The sequence below is a fragment of the Homo sapiens genome, chromosome X (genome assembly GCF_000001405.40).
Source record: "Homo sapiens chromosome X, GRCh38.p14 Primary Assembly".
Classification (NCBI taxonomy): domain Eukaryota; kingdom Metazoa; phylum Chordata; class Mammalia; order Primates; family Hominidae; genus Homo; species Homo sapiens.
This window is the reverse complement of record NC_000023.11, coordinates 149,142,359-149,158,696: the sequence shown is the minus strand read 5'-3', so window position 1 is coordinate 149,158,696 and position 16,338 is coordinate 149,142,359. Positions and strand designations below refer to the sequence as shown.

Here is a 16,338-nt window from a genome sequence, read left to right as displayed (position 1 = left end):
TTTGATGGTTTTATAAGGGGCTTTTCCCCCTTTTGCTGAGCAGTTCTCCTTGCTGTTGCCATGTGAAGAAAGACGTGTTTGCTTCCCTTTCTGCCATGATTATAAGTTTCCTAGGCCTCCCAGCCATGCAAAACTGTGAGTCAATAAAACCTCTTTCCTTTATAAATTGCTCAGTATCAGTACGTCTTTATTAGCAGCATGAGAATGAACTAATACACCTACAACTTCATGAAACCCAAACATACCCAAGAATAAGAAACATGAAGTAAATTAATACCAAGATACATGATAATCAAATTACTTAAAACTAGCAATAAACAAAAAAATCTTAAAAGCAGACAAAAAAATAGAATATACATAGAAGAGTAAAAATAAGGAGGTCAGCACATTTCTCATCAGAAAAAATGCAAATGAGGAGAGAGTGGAGTAACTTCTTTAAAATGCTGAAAGAAAAAAATCCTGTGACCTAGAATTTTTATCCAGCATACCAATGAGTGTTCTTAGGAAAACAGGGCCAGTAGGAGAGAGGGGTAGTGGGGGAGTTGCTAGTTATTTTAAGGAATTGGCTCATGCAGTTTTGGTGAATGGCAGTCCCTAAATCCATAGAACAGAGTTGTAGGCTGGGAATTCTCAGGCAGGAGCTGATGCTGCATTCTTGAAGCAGAATATTTTCCTGCTCAAGGAAACCTGTTTTGTTCTTAAGGCCATTTAAGTAATCGGATAAGGCCCATCCAGATTATTGAAGATAATCTCCTTTACTTAATTTCAACCAATTGTAGATGTTATCTACATCTAAAAAAATATTTTAACAGCAGCAAGTAGATTCGTCTTTACTTGAATAATGTGGTATTATATAGCCTAGCCAAGTTAACATATAAACTCGCCATCAAATTCAGCTAAAATATCTTTCAACAATGAAGACAAAATAAGAACGTTTTCAGACATACAAAAGCTGAAATAACGCATTACCCACAGAATTGCACGACAATAAATTTTTAATGAATTTCTTTTAGCAGAAGGAATATCATACCAGATGTAAATCTGGATCTATAAAGAATGAAAAATATGGGAAATTTATTGGCATGAGTAAGTATGATTGACATTTTTTTCTTAACCTCTGTAAAAGATAATTGACCATTTAAAGCAAAAATAATAACAATGTATTGTGGGGTTTATAGTGTATGTAGAAGTATTACAGAATGTAATGTGGACAATATAAAAAAGCTTGGAAGAAGACAATTAAAAGTATACTGTATTGAGGTTCTTATACTATGCATTAAGTGGTAATAACATCACTTGAAAGCATGTTGTGACAAGTTAAAGATGTATACTATAAATCTATCCTAAAGCAACCACTAAAGAAACATAACAAATAGTTATAATGAATAAGAAAACAAACGATATAAAATGAAAGTATAAAAATTACTCATTAGTGGCCTGGCGTGGTGGCTCACGCCTGTAATCCCAGCACTTTGGGAGGCCGAGGCGGGTGGATCACGAGGTCAGGAGATCGAGACCATCCTGGCTAACATGGTGAAACCCCATCTCTACTAAAAATACAAAAAAATTAGCCGGGTGTGGTGGCGGGCACCTGTGGTCCCAGCTACTCGGGAGGCTGAGGCAGGAGAATGGTGTGAACCCAGGAGGCGGAGTTTGCAGTAAGCCGAGATCATGCCACTGCACTCCAGCCTGGGCGACAGAGTGAGACTCCATCTCAAAAAAACAAAAAAACTTACTCGATTATCCAAGTTAGGAAAAGAGGGGGAAAAAGAACAAAGAACTAATGGAAAAAATAGAAAACAATATCAAAAGGATAAATTTAAACACAATCATATCAATAATAAGATTAAATATAAATGGTTTCACAATACCAATTAAAGAACAGATTCTCAGATTCAATTTAAAAAAAAGCATGAGCCAATTATATGCTCCCTAGGAGGAAACAACTTTAAACGTAAAGGCACAAACCATCTAAAAGCAAACAGACAGAAAATGAAATATCTTGCAAATACTAATGAAAGGAAAGCTGGAGTGGCCTTATTAATATTAGACAAAGTAGATTTCAGAACAAAAATATTACCGGGGTAAAGAGAGTAATTTTATAATGATAAAGGAGTCCATTCATCAAGAGGACATAAGAATCTTAAATGTTCATAAACCTTAAAATGGAGCTTCAAAACTCAAAAAACAAAAACTAATAGAATTTCAAAGAAAAATAGACAAATTCACAATTACAGATTTCAATACCCCTCTATCAATAATTGACAGAGCGAGTAGACAGAAAATCAATTAGATTATTGGAGATTTGAACAACAGTCTCAGCCAAGCTAATCTAATTGACATTTATAGAACATTCCACTCAACAGCAAAATACAAATTATTTTTAGTGTACACAGAACATTTAACAAAATAAATCATATTCTAGAACATGAATTTAAGAACACAACTTATGTTCTTTGACAACATGGAATTAAATTAGAAATCAATGCTAGAAATATAACTGGAAAAATCCTCAACTATTTGCAAGTAAACAACACACTTTCAAATAACCAATGGGTTGATAAAATCAACCAAAAGAGAAATTATAAGGTATCCAAAAATAAACAGAAATAAAAATACGACATATTAAAATTTGTAGAATGCAGCTTAAGTAGTCATTAGAGGGAAATTTATAAGTATCAAAAAGTTTATATTAGAAACATTGGGTGCACATGGACATAAAGTTGGCAACAATAGACACTGGGGACTACAAGAGAGGGGTTAGAGCTAGGGGAGTAAGGGCTGTAAAACTACCTGTTGGGTACTATGCTCACTACCTGGGTTGTGGGATCATTCATACCCAAAACTTCAGCATCACACAATATACCCATGTAACAAATCTGCACATGTACCCCCTGAATCTAAAATAAAAGTTGAAATTATTTTTAAAAATTTAAATATGTTTTTAATTTAGATGCAATATATTCTAATTGGTGAATTTGATTGTAGTTTTTGCAGGATATCACATTTTTTTTTTTTTGAGACAGAGTCTCGCTCTGTCGCCCAGGCTGGAGTGCAGTGGCGCAATGTCGGCTCACTGCAAGCTCCGCCTCCCGGGTTCATGCCGTTCTCCTGCCTCAGCCTCCCGAGTAGCTGGGACTACACGCACCCGACACCACGCCCGGCTAATTTTTTTGTATTTTTAGTAGAGGTGGGGTTTCACCGTGTTAGCCAGGATGGTCTCGATCTCCTGATCTCGTGATCCACCCGCCTCGGCCTCCCAAAGTGCTGGGATTACAGGCGTGAGCCACCGCGCCCGGCCAGGATATCACATTTTAAATGATATTTTGTTTTATGCTGTGTGGGAGGTTGTAACTCGTGGTACAAAATGTAAAACTGGGGTAAAAAGAATAACTGCTTACACAAACAATTTAAACGCTTATACCTTAGTAGTAATGAAACTTACTGAAAAAGAATAAATAGCTATATTTTTGTCTTCTTAAAAAATGCTTATATTGGAAATGAAGAGAGGTTTCAAATCAATTACATCAGCACTAATATTTAAAAATTAGATTAAGAAAAGCAAATAAAACATAAATTAAGCAGAAAAAAATAATAAAAATCAGAGAAGAAATCAATGAAATAAAATACAGCAGAATATTTTTTAAAATCAATGAAATGGATAGTTCTTAAAGATCAGTAAAATTGATAAGCTTCTGGCCAGACTAGTAAGAAAACATAGAGATGACACAAATTACTAACGTCAGGAGTGACAGAGGTGACATCTCTTCAGATACATTAGATGGTAAAAAAAATAAGGGACTATTACCAATAATATTTTGTCAATAATATTACTAAGTTAGATATAGTGGTAAAATTCTGTGAAAGATGCAAAGTATCAAATCTCACTGGAAAAGCTATAGAAAATTTGAATAAGCTATATCTATTACAGAAATTGAATTTGTAGTTAATCACCTTCCTGCAAAGACAACTCTGGAGCCATGTAGATTCACTGGCGAATCCTACTAAACATTAGAAAAAGAAATAATAGCAATTTGCAAACTCTTACAGAAAATTGAATTGGATTTTGTCAAATGTTTCCTATTGAGGTGATTATATACTTTTCTTTTGTAGTCTGTTAATATGGTAAATTACATTGATTTTCAAATGTTCAGCTAACCTTGCATTGACAAAATCCAACATCCATTCCTGATAAAAATGCTCAGTAAACTAAGAATAGAAGGATTCTTTAGTCTGCTAAAGACCACTGCTTCAACATTGTAGTGAAGGTTTTCACCAGTGTAAATAAGAAAAGTGAAAGAAATAAAAAGCATCTAGATTTAAAATAAAAATTAAATTATCTTTATTTGCAGATGACATGTATATCTAGGTAGAAAATCTGATTGAATCTGCAAGAAAACTATTTGAACTAATAATTGAATTTAGCAGATACAAGATCAATGTACAACAATTAATTGTAGTTCTAAATAGTAGCAAAGAACATTCAGAAATTGAAATTTAAAAACAATACCATTACAATACCATTTACAATAGCTTAAAAATATATAGGGATACATTTGACAAAACATGCAAAAGAACTGTACACTGAAAGCTGTAAAATATTGCTAAGAAAATTGAGGCAAACATAACTAAATGGGGATCTGTAACATATTCATGGATTGTTAATGTGTCAATGCTCCCCAAATTAATGTACAGAGTCAACATAGTCCCATTTAAAAGTCCAGCAGTTCTTTTAAGAAATTGACAAACTGGTCTTATAATTCGTATGGAAATTCAAAGAACCTACAATAACCAGAACTTTGAAAAAGGAGAAAAAAGTTAAAGGATTTTCACCACCTGAATTCAAGACTTATTATAAAGCTACAGAAAGCAAGGTAGTGACATAAATATAGAAAAATAGATCAATGAACCAGAAGATATGATCAATTTAATGTAGATGAAAGAACAAAGGCAATAAAATAAATAATGTAGATGAAAGTACAGTACATTGCAATAAATGATGCTGGAGCAATTGGATATCTATATGGAAAAACACACAAAAAATAAAACATAACCTTGGTTCCATACTTTACACCATTTAAGAAAATTAACTCGAATCACAGACATAAATATAAAACCTAAAATTGTGAAACTTCTGGAAGTAAGCATAGGAGAAAATTGTGACCTTCAGTTAAGCAAAGATTTCTTTGCTACAACACCAAAGTCATGATTAATAGAAGAGAAATAAAAATGATAAATTGAACTTTATCAAAATAAACATTTCTGTTCTTTGAAAGACACTGTCAGAGAATGCATACAAGGTGTAGACTGAGAGAACATATTTGCAAAGCATATAAATAATATAGCTAATAAAGGATTTAATTCTAGAATATATAAACAACTTTCAAAACTCAATAATAAGAAAATGAACACCTAAATGAACAAATGAACAAAGGATTTAAATAAACTTTAAACCTATGAAGATACATAGACAGCAAATAAACACATGAGAAGATTCTTGGCATCATTAGTCATTACGGAAATGTATATTAAAACCACAATGAGATACCACTACATACTTACTAGAATGACAATTAAAAAGAGAGTCAAGGAGATGGTGAAATTTGTGTCATACGAGGTAACTCTATGTTTAATAATTTGAACGACTGCCAGAATACTCTATTTTGTTTTATTGCCTGATTGTCCTGGCTTGAAACTTCAGTACAGTGTTGAATGGAAGTGGAAAGAGTGAACATATTTTTCTTCTTCCTGATCTTGGGGGACAGCATTCAGTCCCTCACCATTATGTATAATGACATTTGTAGGTTTTTCATAGATGCAGTAGGTTGAGGAAGTTCCCTTCTTTTTCTAGTTGTTTGAGTGTTTTTATCATGAAGTGTTATGGACTGAATGTTTGTATCCGCCCCCCTCCAAAAAAAATTCATATGTTAAAATCTTAACTTCAAATTTTTCTTGGACAAGGTGACTGACTAGAAGTAGCTAGTGTGTGCCACTCTCACAGAAAGCAGATGAGACTGGCTAGTTAACACTAGCTCTTCAGCTGGAATGTTCAGGAGGACATCCTGAACATTGCTTTCTTGAGAGTCATCAAAGAAGCAATGTGAACCATGTAGAGCAGAGAAAAGCAAGACAGGACAGCCACCCACTCAGGGCTGGTGCAGAGCCAAGAGAGGCTTACCACCGTGGGAAATGAGTGAGTGAGAACCCCTAGAGACTGACACTTCTGCCACAGACTTTTGCAATCCTGGGCATAGGAAATTCTCCCTTGCTCCCTCCTCCCAGGGCCTCCAGACTGAATTGAGAGCTGCATGGAAGCTGGAAAGAGCTGCTGCTCAGGCCTCCATGGAGCCCAAGGTCCTTGAATCCCTAAGCACCCCAGCTCCAGCTTGCATGCCCCCAGGATAGTGACTACACCCATGGTGCTGAGGAGCAGATGAACTACAGGCCTTGTCTCTGGTACACCTTGTCAGGCATAGTCAACTGGCCTAGGACCCCAGTGCAGTCACCCTACCCCTTCCTGAGCACTTGGACCCATAGAAGATCTGCATTTCTCTGGGATGGAGGTCCCAGAGGCAACTGACAGGCCCACCATTGTTGCAGCTGCCACAGCCCCCACTCATACAGCCCTCAGTCTATGGAGGGAGGGAGGAAAGAGCCTAAGTTCTATCATAGGCCTCCAGCAAACCACAGCTGCCTTATGGAAAAGCAGCCAAACAGTTTTTCCCATGAGTCCCTGCCCCTCCTATTCTTTACTGGGGTGGACCTCCTAACCTGCGCCTCCAGTATAGCTACGTCAACCCTGCCTGAACATTTCAGTGGGTGGCAATACTGCATTTCTCTGAGGAGGAAATCCCAGAGGCAGAGAATCCCACAAGTTCTTCTCCATTGCCACTGCAGCAGTGTCAGCTTTGCTTGAGTGTTATTCAGCTCAATAGGCCCTCTGTCTTTTTGCAAGGGCAGAGGGCCAATGTGACAGCTTTCTGTATCCCAAGTTCTCACCCAGTATCCAAGAAAAATAGGGTCACACATGGGCCTGAAGGATGAATGCGGAGTTTTACCGAGTGGTGGAGGTGGCTTTCCGCAGGATGCATGGGGAGCTAGAAGAAGGGGATGGAATGGGAAGGTGATATACCCCTGGAGTTGGGTCCCCCAGTGGACTCCTCTCCAACCACTTCAGTGGAACTCCTCTTGGTGTTCAGATGATCCTCCTCTTCTCTCTTTCTCTGCTGTGTCATTCTGCCATTGTCTGCTGATCTGCTGGCTTGCTGGTCTGCTTCTGGAGCCTGGGGTTTGAGGTTTATATGGGTGCAGGACAGGGGTCATGGTGGGCCAAAAGGCAACTTTTTGGGTGCAAAAACAGGAATGTCTGTCTTCATTTAGGGTTGTGGGTCTTCAGGTTTGAGGGTGGGGCCTTTGCCAGGAAACTGCCATCTTCTACCCAGTATTTCCCTCTCTCCTGTCCTTATCAGAAGGACCCCTGGCATGGGCCTGCAGTGTAGCTACCTCACCCTGGCCTGAAGGTTCCCCTTTGCAATGTTTTGTGTCTCTCTGGGGTGGAATTCCCAGAGGTATCTGACAGCCCCTCTGCTACTGCCAATGTAGCAGTACCTGCCCTTGCTACCACCAGTCCAAGAAGGGAACAAAGAGCCTGAGTGCTTTACTCACACCTCCAGCATGCCATAGCCACCATACAGAGAAGCCAGACTGTCTTCCCCGCAAGCCCCCCACCCTCTTGCTCTTCACCAGGCAGGGCTCCTCAGTTTGGGCCCACAATGCAGCTGTCCCACCCTAGGCTGATGTTTCTGATTGGTAGCTGCTCTGTGTTTCTCTGGGGTGGAGTACCAAGGGACAAGTGAAAGGCCCTCTGCCATTGCCAGTGCCAAGGTCTCTGCCCATGCTGTCCCCAAGTTGGGGAGGGAACAAAAGCCTGAGCTAGCCCCACAGCTGCAGTACACAGACTGGGAGTGTCAAGCCGACGTCTACAGCCAGCATTGAGGGGGAAAGGAGCCCACACTCTCAGAGCACTGAGAGGGAGCATGGCTACAAATGCAAGAAAATACAGAGAAGACACTTGGCTAAGGGCCTACCTACCATCCATTATGCTTAAGCACCATCTACTGGATTTACTGGATTGAAGCTCAAACTTCAATGCCAAAATACTTTGTGAATATACCCCCCTGTGAAATAAAAGACAGAATTCAACCACAAATAAGGGCCTTTCAGAAAGCCTCAGCCCTCTGAAAACATCCAGAAATGAAGACAACTGGCCATACTCAAATTGTACCACATTTAAAGGAACATCAGCCCATACAGATGAGAAAGAACCAGTGAAAGAACCCTGGAAACTCTAAAAGCCAGAATGTCTTCTTACCTCCAAAACTGCACTAGCTCCCTAGAAACAGTTAATCAGAATGAAATGGCTAAAATGACAAGCATAAAATTGAGAATCTGGATGTCAACAAAGATCACTGAGATGCAGGAGAAACTTGAAACCCATTTCAAGGAATCTAGTAAAATGAGTCAAGAGATGAAAGATGAGATTGCCATTTTAAGAAGAACCAAACTGCACTGATAAAGCTGAAAAACTCACTACAAGAATTTCATAACATAATCAGAAGTATTTACAGCAGAATAGATCAAGTTGAGAAAATAATCTCAGAGCTTGAAGACCAGTTCTTTTTTTTTTTTTTTCTTTTGAGATGGAGCTTCACTCTTGTTGCCCAGGCTGGAGTGTAATGGTGCGATTTCAGCTCACTGCAACCTCCACCTCCTGGGTTCAAGTGATTTTCCTGCCTCAGCCTCCTGAGTAGCTGGGATTATAGGCATGCAACACCATGCCTGGCTAATTTTTGTATTTTCAGTAGAGACGGGGTTTCTCCATGTTGGTCAGGCTGGTCTTGAACTCCTGACCTCAAATGATCTGCCTGCCTCGGCCTCTCAAAATGCTGGGATTACAGGTGTGAGCCACTGCACCTGGCCAAAGACCAGTTCTTTGAATTAACTCAGTAACATAAATATAAAGAAAAAAAATAATGAACAAAATATCTGAGAAATATGGAATTATGTAAGGAGATGAAATCTACAACTCTTCAGCATCCATTAGAGAGTGGGAGAGAGAGCAAGCAACTTGGAAAACATATTTGAAGATATGATACATGGAAATTTTCCCCAACCTTGCCAGCAAGGTCAACATGCAAATTCTGGAAATTTAGAGAACCCCTGTGAGATACTATACAAGTAAAACATCTCCAAGACACATAGTCATCAGATTCTCCAAGGTAAATATAAAAGAAAAATGTTAAAGTCAGCTAAAGGGAAGGGGCCGGTCGCCTACAAACAGAACCCCATCAGGCTAACAGTAGACCTTTTCTCAGAAACCCTACAAGCCAGAAGAGATTGGGGGATTATATTCAATATTCTTAAACAAATTTCAACCAAGAATTTTATATCCAGCCAAACTAAGCTTTATAAGTGGAGGAGAAATAAATCCTTTTTCAGACAAGCAGGTACTATGGGAATTCATTATCACCAGATCTGCCTTAAAAGAGGTCCTTAAGGGAGTGCTAAACATAAAAATAAAAGACTGGTACCTGCCACTGCAAAAACACACTTAAGTCCACAGACCATTGACACTATAAAGCAACTACACAATCAAGTGCACATAACAACCAGCTAACAACACAATGACAGAATCAAATCTGTACCTATCAATATTAATCTTGAACATAAATGGGCTAAATGCCCCACTTAAAAGGCAGAGAGTGGGCTGGATGTGGTGGCTCACGCCTGTTATCCCAGCACTTTGGGAGACTGAGGAGGGTGGATTGCCTGAGGTCAGGAGTTTGAGACCAGCCTGAGCAATGTGGTGAAACCCCATCTCTACAAATACAAAAATTAGCCAGGCGAGGTGGTGTGCGCCTGTAGTCCCAGCTACTGGGGAGGCTGAGACAGGACAACTGCTTGAACCTGGGAGGCAGAGATTGCAGTGAGCCAAGATTGCACCACTGCACTCCATCTCAAAAAAAAAAAAAAAAAAAAAGGCACAGAGTGGCAAGTTGGATAAAGAAGGAACATCCAATTGTATACTGTCTTCAAGACATCCATGTCACACGCAAGGTTATTCATAGGCTCTAAGTACAGGGATGCAATAAGATCTATCAAACAAATGAAAGACAAAAAAGAGCACGAGTTGCTATTCTTATTTCAAACAAAACAGACTTTAAGCTAACAATGATAAAAAAGGACAAAGAAGGACATTACATAATGATAACAAAATCTTCTTGTTGAATTGAACACTTTGTCATTATGTAATATATCCTAAATATATATGCACCCAATACTGCAGCACCCAGATCCATAAAACCAGCTCTTAGACATTTACAAAGAGACTTAGATAACCACATAATAATAGTGGAAGACTTCAACACCCCACTGACTGTATTAGACAAATCATCATGGCCAAATACTAGCAAAGATACTCAGAACTCAAACTCTACACTTGACCAAATGGCCCTAACACTCATGTACAGAACGGTCCACCCAACAAAAACAGAATACACATTCTTCTCATCTGCACAAGGCGCATACTTTCAAATTGGACAGATGCTTGGCCATAAAGGAATTCTCAACAAATTGAAAAAAGGAAAGAAAGAAAATTATGCCAACCACAGTCTCAGACCATAGACCTAAAAAAATATAAATTAGTAAAAAGAATGGAAATTAAATAATCTGTTTCTCAGTGACTTTGGCGTAAACAATGAAATTAAGGCAGAAACCAAGAAATTCTTTGAAAGTAATAAAAACAAAGATAAAACATATCAGAATCTCTGCGACACAGTTAAAGCAATGCTAAGAGGGAAGTTTATAGTGCTAAATGCCCACATCAACAAGTTAGAAAGATTTCAGATTAACAACCTAACATCATACCTAGAGGAACTAGAAAAACAAGAGCAAACCAACACCAAAGGTAGCAGAAAAATGAAATAACCCAAATCGCAGCTGAACTGAACAAAATGGAGATGAGAAAAGCCATACAAAAGAACAACACAACCAAAAGTTGATTTTTGAAAAATAAATACGATTGATAGATCACTACCAAGACTAATAAATAATAAAAGAGAAAATCCAAATAAACACTACAAAAAATGACAAAGGGGCATTACCACTGACTCCACAGAAATACGAATAAAAACTTCAGAGACTATTATAAACACCTCTATGCACACAAACTAGAAAACCTAGCAGAAATATATCTAGCTGAGTCTGGGGGTTTTCATGTGCTCAGAATGGAGGGAGTGCATGCTGATTGGTCCATGAGTGGCCATGGGTGGGCTTGAAAAAGCACCATTCAATTGTCTGAAAGGCGCCAATGAAATTCTCACTCCATGTGGTAGACTCCACCTTAACTGGCAGCCTGGCCCCCGGGCCCCAGGCTTCAGGCCTGGCTTGAAGGTGAGGTTTCACTGGGGACCTGCCCCTTCCCCCAGGAACCTGTCTGCCTCTGCTGCCATCAACATGCCACCCATGGTGCCCAGGCTTTCCATGCTGAGGAGTGCCTGTAGACCCATGCCAAGCCCCCCTCAGCCCCCCTCTGCCCTCCTGTGTTTGTCAGTTCCCAAAGTCCGGAGGGGGCCAAGGCAGCAGAGGGCTAGCATGTCAATGCCACCCCAAGCATGTGCACACTCAGCCGGGTTTACCACAACTTTGCTCCACACTGGAGCAGACACCAGGAGCAGGGAGAGGCCAGGGAGCAGGAGCAGGCACTCCCTGGGCTCCTAAGAGTGCAGGGATGCCTGGGTCTAGAGCCATGGCTGGGTGGCTACAGCTGCACCCGGGAGCAGGGGCTCCTGCCATGCCAACTTGGTGGGGTTCCCACTTGGATCACCTGTTTACAGCACCCACTGGCTCCACAGAGCGCATAGCCCTTGCCATGCCTTCCCCGCTGCTGCTGGCGTCTTCAAAGCAGCCACTCTAGATAGGCTGCTGCCACCATCAGTTTTACTTATTTTCACTAGCTTGTATAATTTTCACAATAAAAATTATTTAAAAATTATTTTTAAAACCCCACAAGACAGGGGAAACAGTATAGCAGTGAGAAAACATAGGGGCAGAATGAAGCCTTGGCCAGAGGAGATAAGGTTATAAGGTAGGATGGAGCCAGGTTTTGTAAAGTGACAATTGAAGTTTGAATTGTTTTCTCTAAGTTGCTGGGTATCTGTGGAAAGTTTTTTTTTTTTTTTTTTTTTTTTTTTTTTTAAATAGGGCAATGGCATAAGAAGACCTGGCCTTCTTTTTCTGGATTGAAGACATTTTTATCTGGGGATTTTTAGTTGAACAGCATCCCAGGTGCTTTCTGGTGATTTTCCAGGTCTCTCTTGGCTTTGCCTTCGACTTTTGAATGACCTGTTTGCATGTCTGTTACCACCATGATACTGCAAGCTCTGTGAAGGCATGGATTATGTCATCTTCAACCCTGCCGCCTCTCCAACTTCCCACCCCCACCCCAGGGCCTGACCCCAAGGGAGCTGTCAATGGATGTTTGCTGCATGGAATGAATGGGGACTGACTTTTGCTATGGCAGTTTCTTAGGCGCCTCTGACATAAGACACCTCCCTTCCCTAGGCACATAAATTTAGGAAGAAGGCAGAGTCTTCATAGTTATGAATTACTTCCTAACTAGTAAAACTGCAGGAAAGCCCACAAAATTGCCTGTAAAGCAACAGCCTCATTAGTTGTAATTATAATAAAGAGCAATGACTCAGCAGACCACAACCCACACCCACAAGCACACAGGCCCTCTAGCAGGGCGCCTCAGGAGGCAGGCCTGGCTCTGGGACACACAGGGAAGATCCATGTCTGTCTTAGCGTATTCTTTTGCTAGACTTCAGCTTTAACCAACTCCATGTGACCCCCCAACCCATTCTATTTTATACAACAAAGTCAGGGGGGTACAGAAGATAGAGTAGGCAAGCCTTAATCTTCAAAGTGTGACTGTTTCAGAACTTCATGACAGCCAGTCTAAGAAAATGCTTATCTCTTGCTATCTCAATTCTCAAAGTGTGCATGTAATTTACTGTGGACAATACTCCTACTGGAGTCCATCCTACTTCTGGTCAACATGTTTGAAAGCTCCATTAAGTCACTGACATGAATCTGGATCTCTCCAAACACTCTCTGGGAGGAATTAAACACTGATGGACTCTAAGCCATGGACCTTTTCTTCCATTGTACCAGTTATGATATTTCACAGATTGTAGGGTCAAAAAATCTGTTTATCAGTTAATATGTAATGATCTTGCAGGCACTTGCACTGCTAAGCATAAGAAAACTGTGTGTGATGATGCTGATAATTATTGTTTTGAAGATATTGTAGGAGCACTACACCACAAAACTTGCCCTTTGATAAGTTAGCAAGGATCAGAAGGCTGAGGTAGCCACATGGTGGTAGCGTCCTCCCAAGTGCCTGGGTGCTCCTCTGGCAGGAGATTTAGAGCTTTTCTGGGAGCAGATTGGGGATCATGGCTTGAGCATCAGTAGTTTACACCTTTGTTGGAGGGATTAAAAAGAAGAAAATGGTAAGTTACTGTACTCCTATTACATGCCATTTGCAAGGCTAGGCCTTTTACATGCATTAGTCAGTTTAGGCCTTAAAATGATACTGCAAGGTAGATATTATTCTTTCTGCTTATTTACTGCCCTTAAAACAATAAATGATAATCCATCACATCAACAGACTAAAAATGAAAAATCACATAATCATATGAACAGGTACAGAAAAAGAATTTGACAAAATGTCACACCCATTTGTTATACAATCTATCATCAAACTAGAAATAGAACAGCTTTATTTATAATTGCCAAAACTTGGAAGCAACAAAGATGTTCTTCAGTCAGTGAATGGATAAACAAACTGATATATCAAGACAATGGAATATTATTCAGCACTAAAAAGAAATAAACTACTGTCAAGCCACGAAAAGACATGGAGGAAACCTAAATGCATATTCCTAAGTGAAAGAACCCAGAACCCAGTCTGAAAACTTTACTAACTATATGGTTCCAGCTATATGACATTTTTGAAAAGGTAAAACTATGAAGACATTAAAAAATCACTGATTTTTTAAATGGAATGAATAGGTAGTGGATTTTTAGGGCAGTGAAACTACTCTGTATAATATTATAATGGGGATGCATGTCATCATACATTTGTTGAAACTCAAAGAATGTACAACACCAAGTATGAACCGTCACATAAGCTATGGACTTTGGGTAAGAATGAAGCATCAATGTAGGTTCATCAGTTGCAAGAAATGTACCATTATGGTGGAGGATATCAATAATAGGGAAGGTTGTGCATGTGTGAGGTAATGGGATGTATAGAAACTCTATACTTTGCATAATTTTCCTGATACCCTAAAACTGCTTTAAAACTAAAGTCTATTTTTAAAAAGATTATAATAAAACAGTAAATGGGAAAGCAGGGTAGTAAGGAATTTGAGAAGCCTGCCCATGATTACACAGTAAGTGTTGTTTGGAAGTTGATCTACTGGTAAAGAGAATATAACAGTCTTAATTTGAAGGTGCTTAGCCTGCTAGTCCATGATCTGGAAGAGGAGATCTGTAAACTCCTCATGACTGCATGAAAAATTGTGTAAAGAAAGTCTCTTCTGGATAGACTTTCCCTAGCTATCTTGGAAACTCCAACAAGATTAAGAACCACATTGGACACATGATATTGGAAATAGCTCCATGATAAAAGCAGAGAGTCAACGTTGGAATTATGTACAATCTGTTTGAAAGTAATGGTCACATATTCCAATATACCTAGGTTAGGATTGGTCAGAAGTACCCCCTTTCTATTTGTGACAGAGTCAGCACACCCCATATCATGTGGGCTTCCTTAGGTTGATTTTCTGAGGTGAATTATATTCTATGAGTACATAAGAGAGTCTTATTAATGTTACTCTGAGAAGTCCAAGTTACATTTGATGTCTTTTTTCTTTCAGAAGCTCTTAGATGATAAATTTGATCTTTGAATTATCTTCATTGAATGGTAAACTTATTTAAGATCACCAGGATTTCAACTGTATTATGTTTCTGTGACAGAACAAGAAATACATAAGCATCTGATAATAAACACTGTTACACGCTGTTAGAGCAAAGCAAAAACAAACCCTAAAATTTCATCTCTCTCAGTGTATATCAGGGGTATTGATTCTGAGAGAGGAAGAGGGCTTGCCCATGGTCTCTCAGCAAGTTAGGGGTTAAGTAATGAGCGATCCTGTCTGTAGCCTCCCAGGCCAGTACTCTTTTCGGAGGGATGACTCCTCAAACTCTTCCACTTGTGATACTCACATGCTTACTGGACAGCTGTACTTGTGATATTCACATGCTTACTGGACAGCTGTACTTGTGATATTCACATGCTTACTGGACAGCTGTACTTGTGATATTCACATGCTTACTGGACAGCTCTACTTGTGATATTCACATGCTTACTGGACAGCTCTACTTGTGATATTCACATGCTTACTGGACAGCTCTACTTGTGATATTCACATGCTTACTGGACAGCTCTACTTGTGATATTCACATGCTTACTGGACAGCTCTACTTGTGATATTCACATGCTTACTGGACAGCTCTACTTGTGATATTCACATGCTTACTGGACAGCTCTACTTGTGATATTCACATGCTTACTGGACAGCTCTACTTGTTTACCTCTCTCAGGCAGCTCAAACACCACATATTTAAAACCAAACTCATTATTTTTCTTCTGCTTTTTTCAAAACACCTCTTTTACCCACCATCTCCACTCTCTATTGTCCCCACAACCCCTCAAGCCAATGACCGATTTCTCTGCCCTGCTTCTGTTCCAGTTATCTACCGTATAACAGGTACCTCAGAAAACATTTATTTTGCTCATCAATTTGCAATTTGAGTAGGGCTTGACAGGGATGCCCATCTCTGCTGTACTCAACCTCAGCAAATTGTCTGAAAGGCTGGAGGGTGGAATCATCTGAAAGCTAACTTACTCACATTGTGTGGTAACTGGTACCGTCATCTGTCAGCTAGCAGACTAAACTTCCCAGGCTTTAGCTTTAAAGCCTACAAATAGTCTTTCCCTGTGGCTACTTGTCTTCCTCACATCGTGGTGGCTAGGTTCCAAAGACAAGCATCTCAAGGGAGGAATGGGGTGGGTAGGTGAAAGTCATGTTGCCTTTCATGCACTAGTGTCACATTGTTATTTCTACTACATTGTTGAGGCAGTTACAAAAGCCTGCCTGGGTTCAAAGGGAGGGAAAAACACTCCACCTTTTGATAGGGGAATAGCAA

General features: G+C 39.6%; 2 annotated features.

The window, feature by feature from the left end:
* Positions 11,223–11,722: an enhancer, noted in NCBI's record as "H3K4me1 hESC enhancer chrX:148228505-148229004 (GRCh37/hg19 assembly coordinates)". NCBI's record gives its function as "activates a minimal SCP1, AML or CMV promoter by ChIP-STARR-seq in naive and primed H9 embryonic stem cells {active_cell/tissue: H9 hESC(naive and primed)}" and the evidence as "EXISTENCE:reporter gene assay evidence [ECO:0000049][PMID:30033119]".
* Positions 11,723–12,224: an enhancer, noted in NCBI's record as "H3K4me1 hESC enhancer chrX:148228003-148228504 (GRCh37/hg19 assembly coordinates)". NCBI's record gives its function as "activates a minimal SCP1, AML or CMV promoter by ChIP-STARR-seq in primed H9 embryonic stem cells {active_cell/tissue: H9 hESC(primed)}" and the evidence as "EXISTENCE:reporter gene assay evidence [ECO:0000049][PMID:30033119]".